Source organism: Homo sapiens, chromosome 12 (assembly GCF_000001405.40).
Source record: "Homo sapiens chromosome 12, GRCh38.p14 Primary Assembly".
Classification (NCBI taxonomy): Eukaryota; Metazoa; Chordata; class Mammalia; order Primates; family Hominidae; genus Homo; species Homo sapiens.
Genome location: NC_000012.12, coordinates 9,285,783 through 9,302,570, shown reverse-complemented (window position 1 = coordinate 9,302,570; position 16,788 = coordinate 9,285,783). Strand labels below are relative to the sequence as shown.

Below are 16,788 nucleotides of genomic sequence, written 5' to 3'. Positions count from 1 at the left end.
CCGCCCACCCCAGTGGAAGCCTTGCTGCCCGGTGCCTCTCAAACTGGGTCACAAGCTACAAATCCTTTCCCAGAGAGCAGGCTGGCCACGGCCCCAGGCCTCAGAGCCAGCGGTCAGTCCCCAGCCTTCCAGGTCTGTGTGCAGCACACACCATCATGTGCCTAGGACATGAATGGCATGCAGCTCCACCCCGCCACAGCACGGGCCAGAGGTGGGAACCAAAGTGCTGCCTCTCAGAGGCCCATGCAGGGGGCCACCAAGGGACTGTCCCACTACCTCAGAGAGTCACATCTCACCCGTATCGCTCCATGTACTGCAGCAGCTGGGAATGGGCCTGGCAGAGCTGGGGAAAGAACACAAACCAGGCTCTGAGCAAGCAGCCGAGGGCTAAGGTACTGACATCTTAGATTCACCTAGAAGATGCTAGCCCTGGACACACAGGAAGCCACCAAAGGGAGGAGAGGGGGCTGGGTGCAGACAAAAGGTACTGGTTTCCACAGCCCTTAGGCTGGTGGGAGCTAAGAGAAAAGGGAAGGAAGGGAAGGTTTCCTCCAGTGTCCACTGTGGGTCAGAGAAAAAGCAAGAGGCTGAATTCCTCAAGTATGGAATCTGCCTGCTAGTTTCCACCGGGTTGGGAAAAGACCTGGAGTCTACAAAGAGTGATGGTTCAAGGTCACCATCACATCCCAGCCTCAATTCAGCCCAGGCACAGGTCAGTAGAGCTGGTGGGATGTCGTGGGGGTTTCACAGTCAGAAACCAGTGGGCACACCCCAGCTCCACACTCATGAGCTGCATGACCTCAGGACAGAGCTTGACCATCTTTGAATCTCCAAGTTTCCAATGTAAAACAGGAACACCACCCCCATGGCAGAGTCAGCGTGAAGACCAGAGACACCTGGTGCCATGCATGGCGCATGATAGGGCAGCAGGAGGAGCCTGCACTGATCTTGAGCATTCCTCAATTCAGTCCCCTCCAGACAACTTCAGTAATGACAAAATCCAATCCTGAGGGGACTTCTGCCTCACACATGCCATCTCCCTGGCTTGCAGAACTGGCTGCTGGCATCCAGGGCTGGAGGGACTCAGGAGCATGGGGGCAGGTGAGGTGCAGGGAAATGAGGCACTCTGTCATAGCGGGGTCCCCAGAGTTCTGGGATGCACTGGAAAGCCATGGTCAGCCTCCGATGAGGTCACCGCCTTGACTCGTGCACCCTGTAGCAAGCCCCACCTCCGGAGGAATTCTTGGCCCGGGTGTCTGGAGGAACCATCCAAGTCCCTTTACCTCACGGCAGGCCCTGGCCTGGGGAGGGGAGGCCCACGCACCTGGGAGCCGCTGACCTCCACGCTGTGCATGCCCGTGATGGTGTCGATCAGGTTGTGCGCCTCGTCGATGATCACCACCTGGTCCTGCAGCCGGATGCCGGCGGCCTGCCGAGTGGCCGCATGCAGCAGCATCTGATAGGGCAGCACCACCAGCTGGGAGGGGAGATGAGGCCACCTGAGCAGGGCGGGGCTCCCCTGCAGGAGGCTTGCCTGCCTGACACTGAGCTCCTGATGTGAGTGCTTCTATTTCCTGCCTGGACTGTGTAGAGACGTTCAAAAAACAGCTTCTGACAACGGACAAGCTCTCCTCGAGTTTCACATGAAAAGCCAATACATGAAACACAGGAAACTAGGGCTGGTCTGACTCCTGAGTAAACCAAGGGCAGGGCTGGGTGAAGGGAACCCCTGCTTAGCCTTGTCCATGTCCTCAAGGTCGCCCCGGAGGCCCCCGAGTTTCCACAAAACACCTGAAGACCATCGGTGCACCAGGAAGCGGCCCCAGCTTCTGCTCCTGGAGCTGCTACTTCCCAGCTGTGTGACTCTGGAAGAGTTGTCTAACCTCTCTGACCCTTGCTTTCCTCATCTGCAAAATAGGGTTGATACATCCTATTTCAAAGTGAGGGTTAAGGCGTGGAGCTGGGGTAACAAAAATAAAAGCAACTCTGCAGGTCTTTAGGTGTTTGTTGTTAGGAAAGTTTCCAGTTAAAGGAATACTCATATAAAAAATAAAATATCGGAAAACTGAATGGCTCCATCACCCACGCTTGGTGAGAAAATATGAGTCACTTAACTTTTCTGGGCTCCAGTGTCCCCATGCACGGAATTTCACTGGAATACTATTAACATAAAAGCAAAATATGGTCAAAGTACTTTACAAATTCAAAAATCGTAAAGATTTTGGGCCATATTATGGTATTTGTGTATAAATGCCTATAGCACTAATCTTGCTCTAAAGGCAAACAGACCGGAGGGAAGGCCTGGGAAACCATGGGGCCTGGCAGCTTTCCTCAGTTTCTCTGCCAGCGCCCACACAGCTCAGCAGGTATGCTGGTGAGCATTTAGCTGCTGTGCAAACGGTTACTTAGTTCCCTGAATCTTTTAAAACCTTACATTTTTTTCTGGATTATACAGAATTTTCCACTAGTGATATCCCGTTTCCAAAGTCACTCAAGTTAAAGAAGTAGCAAGGAAATAGTGAAACTGCACCCACCAAGTAACAGTGAGATACTACTTTTCATCTGCTACATTAGCAGTTCTTCCTTCTGTTTAAAAATCAAGAGAAGTTGTGGCAGAGAAGACAGTATTCTCACGTGCTGCAGGTAGGTGTAAGTTAGGGAAAGCTTTCCAGTTAAGAGTACTGATATTACAAAAAGGAAAAACTGGAAAACTGAATGGTTCTATCACTGACATCCTCCATCACATCATAGGCATGGAAGTTGGGAGCATCACTTGGAAAGCCATTTGTAAATAGATGTATGCAGCACACTCTTCTCAGCTCCTGGCATCCCCCCTCTCCCTGTGGTTTCACTAGGAATGCACCGGCTTTCCTGGCTCCTAAATACCATCCCCAGTAATGCCAACTGGCCCTGCTGCCTGGAGACCCCAAGGGATCCCACGCGCCTCCTCCAACTCACGCATCAGGAGAGAATGGGTTAAGGTGCCATCAACCTGACCACGGTGGGGGGCATCCCCCAAACTACAGTGTGATGAGGACGCCCCTCATGGCCTAGACCACAGTGAGAGCCAAGAGCGGCTTTCTGGCCCTGCAGGGCCCTCACCTTGGCTGCAGGGATGGCAAGGCGGCTCCTGTAATAGGGACAGGCCCGGGCCTCCTTCCCAAGGGCCAGCAGCTGCTCCATGTCCTTCACCTCTGCCAGGGCCTCATCCCGGAGAAGGCCCATCTGCTCGTGGTTGTAGAAGGGGCAGGCTGCCTGCTTCTCCTGCCTCCTCCTCTTTGGCTTCTCCTCCTCAGCTCCTTTCTTCTTCTCTGAGGGTGGCACAGGCACAAAGAGAGAAAACAGAGAAGACAGCAACTGTCCACGGGCCCGAGAGGGGGTTGTGTAATGTTGAGACCCACTTCCACAGGGTGGGGTCTATAAGACCCTCCCAAGTACTGCCTACTGTGTCTCATCGGAACACTAAGGTTTTACTTTTGTTCTCCAGAAAGAGCCCGTAAAATCATCTCCAAGCCAACGATTCGGACCAGACGCTCACCCAGAGAGTAGGAACACTTTTTCCCAAGGAGAGGGGACTCAGGAAGGAACTGGGGTCTCCTCTGCCATTCTTTCTATGAAAGACACTGAATGGTCTTCAGTCACTGCCACCCCTGCCTCACTCTCTCCAGACCACCTGCGGCTACACCATGGTCCCGGTGGCTACCGTGCCTGCTTCTCTGCATGTCCACGCAGCGGTCGTTGATAAGCTGCACAGAACCTAGGCTTCTCACGTCTTCATTTACACAAAGGTTCTGCAACAAAGGAGAAAGAAAGAGGCAAAGAGATGGTGCCAGCTAAATGACATCCTACCAACACACGTGGACCTGCCCCCGCCACCTCTCCTTTGCCTTCCAGTGATGGGCCGGCCAGGCCAGGGAGGGGGCTGCTCCTCACACGGTTCAGCCTGTCACAGACCCAGCGTCTCCCAGGCCTGGACGAGCAGGACAAAGTTGTGGGGAAAGGAGCAGGATGGCCCCTGGTGGAAATACTGGCTACTGTTTACCTGCCGGGAGCCGAGGGAGACCAGCCGAACATCCTTGCCAAAGGGGCTCTTCTTCACCTCATGCACAAACTGGGCCAGCTGGGAGTGTGTCCGACTACAGTGATAAATCTAGCAGAGAGAAAGAAAGGCACTTCAAAGAGGGAACCAAAACATCCCACAGCATTCTCTAACATCAAGGCACGCCAGGGCCTGAGAGGCTGAGGGAAAGGGAGTGGCTCCCAATGCACAAAGCCGAGGCAGGACAGCAATGTCCCATGTCAGGCATCTATCGAGGGACCCAGGGATTCCCAAGTCACCCACAGCTCCAGAAGTTCAAGGGAATGCCCCACAGGCAGCTCCTTCCACGAGTCATATCCAGCACCACCCAGCAGGGACAGAAAACACCCAGACTTCAGCCCAGAACAGCTGTTCCTCTATGCCCTGGGGTGGCAAGCATGGCCCTGCTCCCAGGAAAGGTCTCCCCAGGAGAGGACTCCCCAGGCCCTGACCCCAGGAGAGGACTCCAGGGTCCACTGCAGCTGACCAAGGGAGCAACTCAGGACCAGGGTTGCGTGCAAGAAGCAACAGAGTCCAAGTGCTGGAAGCTCCTCCTTTGTGGAGAGGAGGGTGAGAAGTAGCCGAGTGACTCCAGCCTCTTCCCCAAGGGTACACAGCCCAGCCCACAGCCCCCAGCACAGCACCAGCTGAGGACACTCGTGTTACCTTAGTTATGTGTTCTTCCTCCAGGTCATCCTCATCCTCATCCACTCTGTGTGTGTGAGAGAGAATAGAAAACAGTCTTCCCTCAGCAAACTCAGCAAAACGCACTGAGCATCTGCTGAGCGCTGGTGCTGAGCCCTGGCCATTCCCAGCAATGGGTTCCACCAAGGTAGCAGGTGCTGCTTGCTCAGAAACTCCCCCAGGCAAATGCCAACCCCAACCTCCCGTGGCCGCTCAGGTCTGTGGGTAGGGAAATGTAAAAAGGAGACATGAGCTCAGCACCCCAAACCCAAGTCTTGAGTTGGAAGCCTCGGGACTCATGGCAGGCTGCTCTCCTCTCTGCCCTCCCTCCAGCAAGCTGGACCCCTCTGAGGCCCCAGGGGGGATATTTGCTCTTCATCATCTCGGGCCTTCGGATGTTCTGTGCCTGGAATGTTGTCTCCCCTCACCAGCTCCCAGTCAACTCTGAGATAGCAGCAGAAACATCACCTCCTCCAGGAAGCCTTCTTTGACCTTCCCTGGTAGGTCTGGCTGCTCTGACACAGATTCATGGCCCCTTCACACCCATCTCATTCAAAATTGCTTCCTCTCGGTCTATCTCCCCAGACTGTCATGTCCACAAGGGAGGACCCAGGTCGGCCTTGTTTCTGCTGAGTCCCCGTGGCCTCACCTAGAGCTTGGTATGCAGCAGGAACCCCATGACCATCTCCTGGATGAAGCTACAACTGACCAATCGAGTGAACAGAGGATGCTGTCACTTATGACCAGCTGCAACTCTTCTTTTGTCAGCGCCTCAGTCTGCCCTTTCCAGCAATGCGGGAAGAATCCATCAGCGCCAGGCGTTGGCAGGGAAGCCAGCCCTGCATCCCATGGCCTGAAGCTGAGCTAGCTCTACTAGTCTATGCTCCTCAGAAAACACAAAACCATCTGACAGGCACACGCCACCTATGGCAACATCACATAAAAAGAAAACATTTTTGTTCACCTCGAAATTCCTTTCTAACAAAGCAGAATACAATTGTCTTGGGCTATCAGAAGAGTAATTATTACAGGCTTGGCTTCATGGTCACTAAAGAGCAGGCGGCTCTATCTTAAAAGGCTTGGATTCAATCTTATGTCGCATGCTGGACAAAGCCAGCAGGAGCTCACTGAGAGGCTGGGTGTGTGAAGAAATGAAGAGCAAAAATTTTCTATTCAGAACTCAGGTCCTCTGAGGCTCACGTTATCTCCTGAAACGTGAGGGCATGGGAAGCCCCGGAAGCTGACCTACAGGATCCACGGCTCTTGCCCAGACCTGAAGGAGCACTTTGTTCCTCTAATATTCACCACCTTCATCTCCACTCAAGTTCTCTGCCTTGTCCCCATGGGCTCTAAGGGAGAAGAGAGGGAGCAGAAACACGACCTTGGAGGTGGGCAGGAACGGTTCATGGAGCACAAACTGTTTATGACCCCCTCTCACCAGCGAGGCATAAAGCAACACGGTGGTCTCTGCCCTGGGCAGGGGCAGAAGTCGAAGTCCACATGGGCAGCCTGGAATTACACTACCAGACTGCAACGAGGCAGCATCTGCTCATTCATGTCAACTCGATTTTATTGAGCACACCCCTATGCCAAACACTGGGTCAGCTCTGGGAACATCAAACTGTAAAGACGTGGTTCCTGCCCTGAAGCAGCTCGAGCCCAGCCAGGGAGAGGAGGCAACAACAGAAGCACAAGCAGGTGCGTGAGCAAAACAGAGCAGCTGACACCCGAAGCCACCAAGACGACACCTGAGCCAGGCCTTAAAGGAGAGGAAGACATCTGCCAAGGGAGGAGGGCAGGGTGTTTGGCCACAGCACGTTGCATGAGCAAATCCTCAGACAGGACAGAGGAAGGCCTGGTGCGCTGGAGGAAGTTCAGGGCAGCGGGGAAGCTGGCGTCTGGTGGATGGCGGCTGGAGGTGGCGTCAGAAGGCGCCCTGCAGACAGACCGTGAAGGCCGGGGATGAACCTTCAGGAATATCCACGGAGGGTCTCTGGTCTTGCAGTTACCCTCCCACAGATGTGGTGGCCAGGATGTCACAGGACACACGGGACTCATCATCAGGTGCAGCCCCCCACCCCATCCACATCACCATTTTGTTTTCCTTGTAGGCAAACATGCTGACTTCACATAGGTGCTATTTGTTTTCATGTCTATTAACTGTCCCCTCCATGTCTTCTTCCCTTCTACGTCCACAGCATCTGGACAGTGCCATACTCAGAGCAGACACTCAGGGATGGTGGTGAGGTTCCAGTGTGAATGGAAACGGGGCTGTCACCAGGGATCCTGTGGGCCCGAAATGGCCTGGGTGGCCTGCTCAGGGCTAAGTCACCCAGCAGCTCATGGCTCATCAAGTGGAAACCTTGAGTCTGGACCAACAGAGGCTTTATGGGAGAAGGAAAGCTCAGGCTAAGGACGCCTTGACGGTTGGCACCTCAAAGGTTACCCAGTGCAGTCAGCTGCCTCAGAGCCTGAGATGTAGAGCCAGGCCGGCTGAGTTCTAGCCCAGCTCTCCACTGCCGAGGCTTGTGGCCTCAGCCAAGGAGTCTCTCCTTGTGGGGCTGCAGCCTCCTTGTGTATAAGGTGCAGACACAAATGTTCCTGCCCTGCCTGAGCTGCTGTGAGGACAGCTGAGAGGACACAGGCCAGGCCGGTGACTGTCCTCACTGCCACTGGCACTCATGGACCCTAGGAGGGACCCGGCTTAGAGCAGAGGGCAGAGGCCACCATGCCTCTTGCCAGGTGCTTCATGGCATCTGTGGCATGAGGGAAAGAGCTGTCTTCAAGGGTGTCCCCTGGCCTGGGGCAGGGTAGTGCTACCGCCTCTGTCTCACCCGCTCGCCACCTTTTTCTCCTCATCACTCTCGTATTCGGCGAGGACCAGCTCCTCCTCCCCAGACTCCAGCTGCTCCAGCCGCTCGGCCTCCGGGCCTGTCTCTAGCATCTCCCTGCTGAGGCGGAGGAGATTCTCTGTTTCTTCTTCTTCCTGCCTCTGGACAGGGGCAGTGGAGGTGGGGAGGGAGGAAGAAGTCTCAGCACCAGTACCCACCTCCCCACGTGCCAGAGACAAAGCACACCACGCCCATTCACATAGGCCTGGCTGCCTGGCTGGAGAGAGGTCGACTCCTAGGATCCACGCCTCAACCACTCACAGCCCAGCTTCTGTACGGGAGCACATAGCCAGTGAGGGTCATGGAGGGGAGACCAAGACCCTGGCCACGCACCCATGAGCCTCCAAGCAGGGCGACCCTGCCTGGACATAATCCTGCCCCCCAAGAAATGAGGCTCACCAGGCGCTTGGCTGCATACTTGAGCTGCACCCTGTGCTGCAGCTGCTGCAGGCGTTCTTCTCGCTGCTTCCTCCTGGCCTGCTCCACCTACAGGAGGCAGACATGAAGGAAAATCACCAGGAAGCCCAAAACCAGGCCTCTCCTAAGGAGTCTGGGCCACTCAGCCCGGCGCCTCCTCACTGCGGGCAGCTCTCCTTCCCCGACCAGCACTCAAGGGCTGCCGCATCCCCTCCCGGGACCTCATCCCTGCAGGTCCCAGCCTCGCTGCTCACTGTGGAAGGCGGCACGCTCCTCCCAAAGCCACACGCTCTCCATCAGATCCATTTGCAGCCATTGAACCATGCTGCCAATGGCAACGATCAGGTCCTTTCCCAGGTGAGTAATAAATGGGCACCAACAGTTCCTTGTGTGGAGAAGGCCCTGCTGACCTCCAGCTCAAAAGAGACAGCACAGCGGCAGCACCATCGACCCAAGGAGCTGAGGGAAGAGCTGAGAGGCACAGCAACGGCAGGGGAGCATGCACTGCCTGAGTCTCGGAATCGCCCCACAACAATCGCTGAAGCCCTGTTTCCTCCAGCACTCCCACTTCCGGATACCCCAGGTCTCACCTTCAGTCGGTCCACCAGGTCCCTCTCTTCTTTCTTCTGCACAAACTGAGTAACCCAGGCCGGTTCTCCAGCAGGCCTCGGGGTGCCTGCAGCCCCTTCGCAGGAGGAAGACAGACACAGGGATTCATCTTTCTCATCATGTAAGGGGCCAGTTCCAGTTTCAAGGAGTCGTGCCTCTTCTTCACGCTTCTTCTGTTCAAAGTCACGGAGCCAGGAGAGGGCCCCACAAATAAGACTTAAGGACTTCCCCTGCAGGAAGAAAAATGATCTTTAGAAACAGGAAAACAACAAAGCCTCCCAAATGACCTTTCCCCATTTTAATAAAAGCTTGAAAGAAGGTCTGGCTGTACATAGGAGAGGATGCTCTAAGGCCAGCCTAGGAAAGGAAAGGAAGGAAACTAGCACTAGAATAGCCAGGAAAAACAGAAAAAAGGAAGAAATGGAAACTGGGCCCAAGAAGCAGGAAAAAGCTTCTTTAATTATCCAGCTCACTGTTCTGAAAACAAATTTGAAGCAGTTTATCAGATTCTATGTAAATATCGCACATAATTAGAAGAAGGGGAGACATTAGACAAAAAGTCCCCTAAAAGAATTAAGGCCCCAAACTGCTGAGCAAGAAATCCCAGGTACTCGCCAACGGGGAGCCACAGTGACCGCGCGGCCTTCGTGCAGCTCGTGCGTGGATACAGGATGATCAGTCACGAGTGCCAGTGTTTACGGTTTGTGTTTTTTTTTTTTTGTTTTTTTGTTTTTTTTTTTTTTTAAAGCAAACTAATCACTCTGGAACACCACTTTTTTTGTCTGTTTTTGAGAGGAGGTCTTGCTATGTTGCCCAGGCTGGTATGGAACTCCTCCTGGGCTCACACAATTCTCTGGCCTCAGCCTCCCAAGTGGCTGGGACCATAGGTGTGCGCCTCCACATACAGACTGGAGAACACTACTCTTGACTTAAGACCAGAATTGTCCATAAGCCTGATTGAATTGTATTCCTCCAAATTCCTGTGTTGAAATCCTAACCCCCAGCATCTCAGAATGTGGCCTTATCTGGAAATAGGACTGTCACAAATGTAATTAGTTAAGATGAGACTACTAGGACGGGACCCAGCCTAAAGGGCTAATATCCTTATTGGAAAGGGGACACGTGGATGCAGACATGCACAGAAGGCAGGCGATGTCATGATACCCAAGGAGAACACGCCCCTATAAGCCAAGGAAAGGGGCCTGAAGAGATCTTTCCCTCGCGACCCTCAGAAGGGACCAAGCATGCTGACACCTTGATCTCGGACTCCAGCCTCCAGCGCTGTGGGATGTCAGTTTCTGTTGTTTAAGCCCCAGTTTGTGAAGCTTTCCTCTAGCAGCCCCAGGGAACCAATACAGTTCTTCCAGAGAGGACCCTTCAGGGAGCGCCACAAGGAGGCGGCCCTGGTGTCCACAGGGGAACTCAGCTCAGGGGAGTCTCTGGAGGACCCCATGCCTTCTGCTCCAGGCAGTCAGCTCTCTGAGCCTGCTGAACCCAGAGGGGATCTCAGAGTATCCAGGGCGGGGTGAAACACCTCGTATGACTAGGGTTGGGGCAGCAGCGCGGCGCAGGAGTCAGAGCCTCAAACTCCACAGCCAGGCGCCAGGGTTCCAGCTGCCTCCCCTACCTGCAGCTCTGTGGCTCAGGCTGGCCTCACTACGCTTGTTTCCACGAGTGCAGAAATGGAAATGACAACAGTGGCACCTTCCTCATACAGCTGGTGCAAGCAGGACATTAACACACACAAAAGGCCAAATCCTCTGGATCAGAGGATTACCTGGCAAATAACAAGTGAGCGGTTGGAGTTAGCTAACTTTTTGCTATCATTAAGTAATAATAATAAAATTATTAATAGCATTATTCTGGAATATGGGATCTATTAGTTTTCACCAAAATCTTGAAAGGCCCTGGGATAGGATAGAATGACATTGCTGACAAATGGATGGATCCCATATTTTTAGGAAAGCCCCATATGTACCATTTCCCTCAGCTTTTGATAGAAAGTAAATGGCAAAGGGTTCCAGGCAGCATTTCCCAGCAGCACCTGGAGGGCGGCTCTTCTGTGCTGCCTGTGATATCGGAAGCAGACAGCTTCAGCTGTCACTGGGCTGGGAGACACAATGGTTAGAAAGCCAGTGCCCTCCATTTGAAAGTGAGCTGAGGAAGTTCCTAAGGGTATGGTCAAAGTTATCTTTCAAAAACAACCGTGGTATACTCCGGCACAACAGCAAAAGAATAACTGAGGCCCACTGTTTTCTACATCCTGTAATAAGACCACAAAACTTTTAGACTGGAAAATGTTAAAAGGATTTATAACCAAAGGCTCACCTTCCTGGGGTATCATCAACAGTTACATGATTTATGCCAAGATAAGCAAATTCATTCACTCTGAACACCTGCTGGTTGCAGCAAGCATGGGGCTCAGAGCTGAGAACACAAAGGTGCAGAGCCCCTAGAAAATGCTCACAGGTTCACATGTAACATACAATTCGAGGGCATCATAGATCCCCGCAAAGCATGCATTCCAGGTTGGAGGACTCCCGGAACTGCAGTGTTACACAAGGCACAGCACACACCAAGTGGTAATGGTGACTCAACTTGATAGACCTGTAGAAGGCTTAAAAGGTGACTATCAAGGATAAACAGCATCTCGGGCAGCTAAGGTGGGGCACCTGTGCATCCAAGGCGGGGAAGGGCATGGTAGGCACAACAGGTAACACAGACCCCACTCAGGGTGTCCCACAGCATGGCTGCTCCTATGGGCTGGGGGACACCCAGGACAGGAGAAAACACTCTATTCAGGAGATGATTTAGAAGACAGAAGAATGTCAAAGGTAATAAAGCCACAGGGTACATTCACAGAGAGTGCACACAAGAAGATGAAGCTATAGAACCAGAAACATCGACAATTAAAGGCTGAGCATAGGAGGAAGATGCAGAAGCCTGGAGTGCAGAAGACTGAGATGGAAAGACCTGAGAGGGAGAAGATGGGTTGTCAGGCTAAACAAGGTAAAAGGGGTCAGGTACAGTGGCTCACGCCTGTCATCTCAGCACTATGGGAGGCCAAGGAGGGAGGATTGCTTGAGCCTAGGGGTTTAAGACCACCGGCCTGAGCAGCATAGTGAGATCTCATTTCTACAAATTAAAAAATTAGTTAGGTGTGATGGCGCACACCTGTAGTCCCAGCTGCTCAGGAGGCTGACGTGGGAAGATCACTTGATGCCAGAAGGTCGAGGCTGCAGTGAACCATGATCTTAACACTGCACTCGGCCCTGGGCAACAGAGCGACACCCTGTCTCTAAAATTAAACAAGGCAGAATGAACATGCACTCATCTGTGTTCCAAAGCACACTAAAATTAACCAAAGTAATATGGAGGCTTACACCCACAAAAACAAAGAAAGTGGAAGGAGTAATATGTTTTAGGAGAGAGGGAAAGAAGGCAGAGACATGGAAGTGATTCGGCAGAGACACTCAAGCCCAAGTGTCCCCAGAGATCTCCCCCACTCATTCTCAGAAAGACTCAGGAAGTGGTAGGAACACAGCAGGCCACTGAAAACAAAGGGACGGGTTGAAATTCTGTTTAAGAACAATTAGATTCCCAGGTTGCAATCCCTGCTCCTGCTCCTTGCAGAACACAGGAAGTGGGCTCTAAGTGGAAGCTGAGCTAGGAGAGCCCTGGAGGCAACTGGCAGATTGAGGAGGCAAGAGGGAGGGAGAGGAGGGTCAGGCTGAAAGCAGGCACTGAGGGGGACTCTCCACCTGGATCCCCTTCCCCAGACCACCTCCCGGAAGACCGGCTATTGGGCTTCAGCGTCTGTACCTGCTGGGCCAGAGCTCAGAGGCACCTGCTCTGGAGAGACCGAAGACTCTAGGGAAAATCCCACAGATGTGCTGGCAACTGGAGGCCCCCAACAAAGGAGCCCAGCCTGGCAGCCACAGCCAGCCTGCCCTGCAGACTCAGCCTTTCTGTGCCCTCTTCTTCAGCATACACAGGCAGTCCAGGGCTGCCAGACGTTTGAGGAAAGCCTCCAAACGGACATATACCCTGATGTGGTGTGGGTGCGGCCGTCTGTCCCCACTAACACTCATGCTGAAATCTGTCAAGTCAGTCTGAGGAGCAACTAATTCAAATGACAGGGAAAGGATGGAGGATTCCAGGAGGGCTCCAAGGTAAAAATGGAATTGGTCACTGCTGTGGACTGAATTGTATCCCCACCAAAATGCATGTTAAAAAAAAGTTTTTAAAGAACAAAAACCAAACAAAAGAAGCTGTGTATGGTGGTGTGCACCAGTAATCTTGGATCTTGCCAGCCACCAGGTACTTGGGAGGCTGAGAGGGGAAGATCGCTTGAGTTCGAGACCAGCCTGGGCCACATAGTGAGACTGCCCATCTTAACAAACAAACATATGTTGAAATCCTAACCCCGCCATGTGACTGTACTACAGATCTGGCCTTCAAGGGTAAAGGAGGTCATAAAGGAGCAGCCATAAGGGAGCAGCCCTTGTCCTCATAAAAGAGAAAGAGACACCAAAGATTTGTTTTTCTCCTCCTCCTCTTTTCTTGCTCCACAGTAAGAACGCAGCCATCTGCAAGCCAGGAAGAGACCCCCTCCCCAGAACCAGAACCCTGCCAGAATCTGGATCTTCAACTTTCCAGCCTCCAGAATGGTGAGAAAATAAATTCCTGTTAAGTCACCCAGTCTATGGTATTTTACTATGGCAGTCCTGGCCGACTAAGACAGGAGTTATCTGTATGGAAAATCATATTGAGAGGCCACTGGATGATGTGGGAGGAACTGGCATAGGTATATTAAAAACTAAACTAACTTTAAAAGGGCAATTATTAACTAGAGAAAACAGAATATTAAGACATATTGTTCAAGACAAAATTATGTTCAAAACATAATCATAACGCACTGGTTCACTCAGCAGAGACTAAAACTTAGAATTATATTTGAAGGATGGGGAACCGGAGGGAAAAGAGTTGGTAAGAAAGCCATCTCATCTACCGTAATAGGTAGGCACCAATGACTTCAGCCTAATTTTTCTCAGACCACAGAGCTATGTTTAAGACTTTAGGCACGGTGGCTCATGCCTGTAATCCTAGCACTTTGGGAGGCCGAAGTGGGCGGATCACGAGGTCAGGAGACTGAGATCATCCTGGCTAACATGGTGAAACCCTGTCTCTATTAAAACTACAAAAAATTAGCCGGGCGTGGCGGCGGGCACCCGTAGTCCCAGCAACTCAGGAGGCTGAGGCAGGAGAATGACGTGAACCCGGGAGGCGGAGCTTGCAGTGAGCCGAGATCGTCCCACTGCACTCCGGCCTGGGCGACACAGCGAGACTCCGTCTCAAAAAAAAAAAAAAAAAAAAAAAAAAGATTTTAATAGAGGAAGCGACTATTACTCAGAAAGATAAACTGAGAGAGACTACTCTGCCCAACTTCAAACTATGAAAATCTCTGGATGGGCAAACAGGAAAAGCTAGCACAGCTGCCGTTAAGTTGTCCTTTTCAGTATCTCTCACTGTTCATACTCACAGTGCCAGTTGGACTCTCAAATATCCCAATCTTGCCAGCCTCCAAAACCCGGTACAGCTCTGCCATGAAGTCTTCCTGGATGGAATAGGGTGTGAAGGGAAAAGGAAAATGGATGGCACCAACCTTCTGTGTTTCATTAGCCATGGACCTAGGAAAAATAAATACAACATTAGGGAGCTCTCTCATGGTCCAGGAAGAAGTGGCTTGAAATCTGGAGCATTATTTAAGAGCAGTCTCCACACTTGTTACCAAATTTCTCCTTTTTTTCTGGGAAGCAGAGACCATGTTCTCTCCATCCTTCGCAGGTCCACATGAGGCCATACCAGAATCACGCACTCCATCTAGCGGCATTTAACGGCTGTAGCAGAATGCAGACCAGGAAAGCCCCTAAACCCAATCTCCCCTGCATTTCACCGTGGCGCCGATACCTTTCTAATGCCTCTACAAAAGGCTTAGAGCTCTCTTCTCAAAGACCAGCACCCCTAAGATCAAGGGTGTTGCTCATAATGACTTTTGCAGCTTTCTTCTCCCACGTCTCTGCAATGCACATTCACAAGCCGAAGCTACTTCACTTTATCCCGTTGTGAAGTCCTGGAAAATCATGACGCACAGGCAGAGGACCATAAGCACAGCTTGTTTGGATAGCGCAAGTTAACATACACGTCCTTATCTTTTTTTTTTTTTTTTTTTTTTCCCAGACAGAGTCTCACTCTGTCACCCAGGCTGGAGTGCAGTGGCGCGATCTCGGCTCACTGCAAGCTCGCCTCCCGGGTTCACACCATTCTCCTGCCTCAGCCTCCCGAGTAGCTGGGACTACAGGCGCCCGCCACCACGGCCGGCTAATTTTTTTTTTTTTTTTTTTTTGGTAGAGACGGGGTTTCACCGTGTTAGCCAGGATGGTCTCGATCTCCTGACCTCGTGATCCGCCCGCCTTGGCCTCCCGAAGTGCTGGGATTACAGGCGTGAGCCACCGCACCCAGCCTACACGTCCTTATATTACAAGTATCTTTAGTTTGCTTCTTAGTTCATCCTGGCCTCCATTTCCAGCACCGACCAGAGCCGCCACCTACTAACTTTTCTGGCCTCAAGACCTATGAGCTTTCTGTTTGGCTCCAGACAGGAGAGCTCTCTTCACAGCCACGGGGCTCTGGCTGAAACAGCTTCCCAGCACTGAGACCAGGCATTTCTCTTTCCTTGCTAGGCTAAGGTCTAAGAAAAACTCTGCTCCATGTTGACGTCATCTTTTTTTTCCTCCTCTTCTGAACCTAATTATCTCTGAGACAGTGATTCAAGGAAGAAAGGAGAAGTAAACGCTATCTGGAGGCCTGACTCTTCCATCCTGGTTCCCACACCTCTCTCTTTGGAACTCACTTCTCCAAGCTCTTTGCCAGGTCTGTCTCTTCTAAGCACAAATGTTAGTAAGTCCCAAACCCATTTTACTAATATTAGTAGATCGAGAGCCCATCTTTATAACTTTGGCCTCAGTAAGACTAGTGATAGTGTCACTCTACGAGGGGAAAGGTAGTTGCCATGATGCTCTTCGGTTTAGGGGCAATTAAAATGACTACAGATTGGTGGCAGTTTATGGATTTGCACAAGAAGAGAGAACTCACAGAACTAGCATTATTTTACCCTCTGTCTTTACAGAGGTATATTTGGCTGTTTTGTTAGACATTCTGGGGACAAGAAAAAATGAAAAAAGAAAAACATGACTACAGAGGTAGAGGAATTATTACAAGAAGGGTAATTAAAAAATATGACTTACAATTCAATCCTGAGAGAGGGGTATGTACTGAAAAAGCTTTAACACATGAAGGAAAGGGGAGGAAAGGTACCTAACAAATTTTTGAGTACCTCCTATGTGTTAAACACTCTACAGTGGTCTTTTGCTTTTATTATCTCATTTAATCTGTACAACACTATAAGGATACAGCTACTGGATACTGATGCTTACAGAAATTAAATAATTGCTCAAACTCACAGCTAAAAAGTGGAAAACCAGGGATTCGAATCCAGATCCAAATGACTGTGCTTTAGTGAAGCTCATCCAGTCGCAAGAGATATCCAGCATAAGTAAAGGGAGGTTCACTGAAGGGAGGTTCACAAACTGAGAGTAAGAATTGAAACTATCTGGGAAAGCCAAAAACAGAAGCAGACTAGAGCTGCAAGGCAGCTCGGACTTCAAGACAGCTCCAGGAACGTCACCAGCAAACACACACCCACGGGGTTCACTCTCCTGCTCAGCCAGGCGCCGGATACAGCCACAATCTCACTCCCTCAGCGCACTCGGTTTCTGCTTATCCCAAACTTTCGCTTACACGTGGCCTCATCAGCCCCTGGACCTTTCAGCTTCAGCTCCCACTGCCAAGTAAAAAGTCTTTATGTCTCCTCGTTCTGAATCCCAAGACAAAAAGCTGACCAGCAGCTCCTCTCAAGACAGAGCACTGGTCAGCCTAAGACTGGTCTGGCTCCCAGCCTCATCTACTCAGCTCGGGCCTTGCACTTGCTGCTCCCCTTGGCCTGGAGAAGGAGTCCTCCTCAATATCCAGGCTTTGGCTCACCTCCTC

General features: G+C 51.6%; 1 long non-coding RNA gene across 1 annotated transcript in view, besides 1 other annotated feature; it reads right to left on the bottom strand.

The window, feature by feature from the left end:
• Positions 1–16,788, bottom strand: part of LOC642846 (DEAD/H (Asp-Glu-Ala-Asp/His) box polypeptide 11-like) — a 30,432-nt gene that overhangs the window by 11,518 nt on the left and 2,126 nt on the right. The window contains exons 2-11 of the long non-coding RNA NR_024374.1: positions 14,222–14,369; positions 8,661–8,909; positions 8,053–8,139; positions 7,597–7,754; positions 4,745–4,790; positions 4,043–4,150; positions 3,709–3,791; positions 3,103–3,311; positions 1,325–1,477; positions 297–343 (exon numbers count right to left, since the gene is read on the bottom strand). This is a non-coding gene — a long non-coding RNA (DEAD/H (Asp-Glu-Ala-Asp/His) box polypeptide 11-like). The remainder of the gene's footprint in view (positions 1–296; positions 344–1,324; positions 1,478–3,102; positions 3,312–3,708; positions 3,792–4,042; positions 4,151–4,744; positions 4,791–7,596; positions 7,755–8,052; positions 8,140–8,660; positions 8,910–14,221; positions 14,370–16,788) is intronic.
• Positions 12,239–13,090: an enhancer, noted in NCBI's record as "H3K27ac-H3K4me1 hESC enhancer chr12:9442077-9442928 (GRCh37/hg19 assembly coordinates)". NCBI's record gives its function as "activates a minimal SCP1, AML or CMV promoter by ChIP-STARR-seq in primed H9 embryonic stem cells {active_cell/tissue: H9 hESC(primed)}" and the evidence as "EXISTENCE:reporter gene assay evidence [ECO:0000049][PMID:30033119]".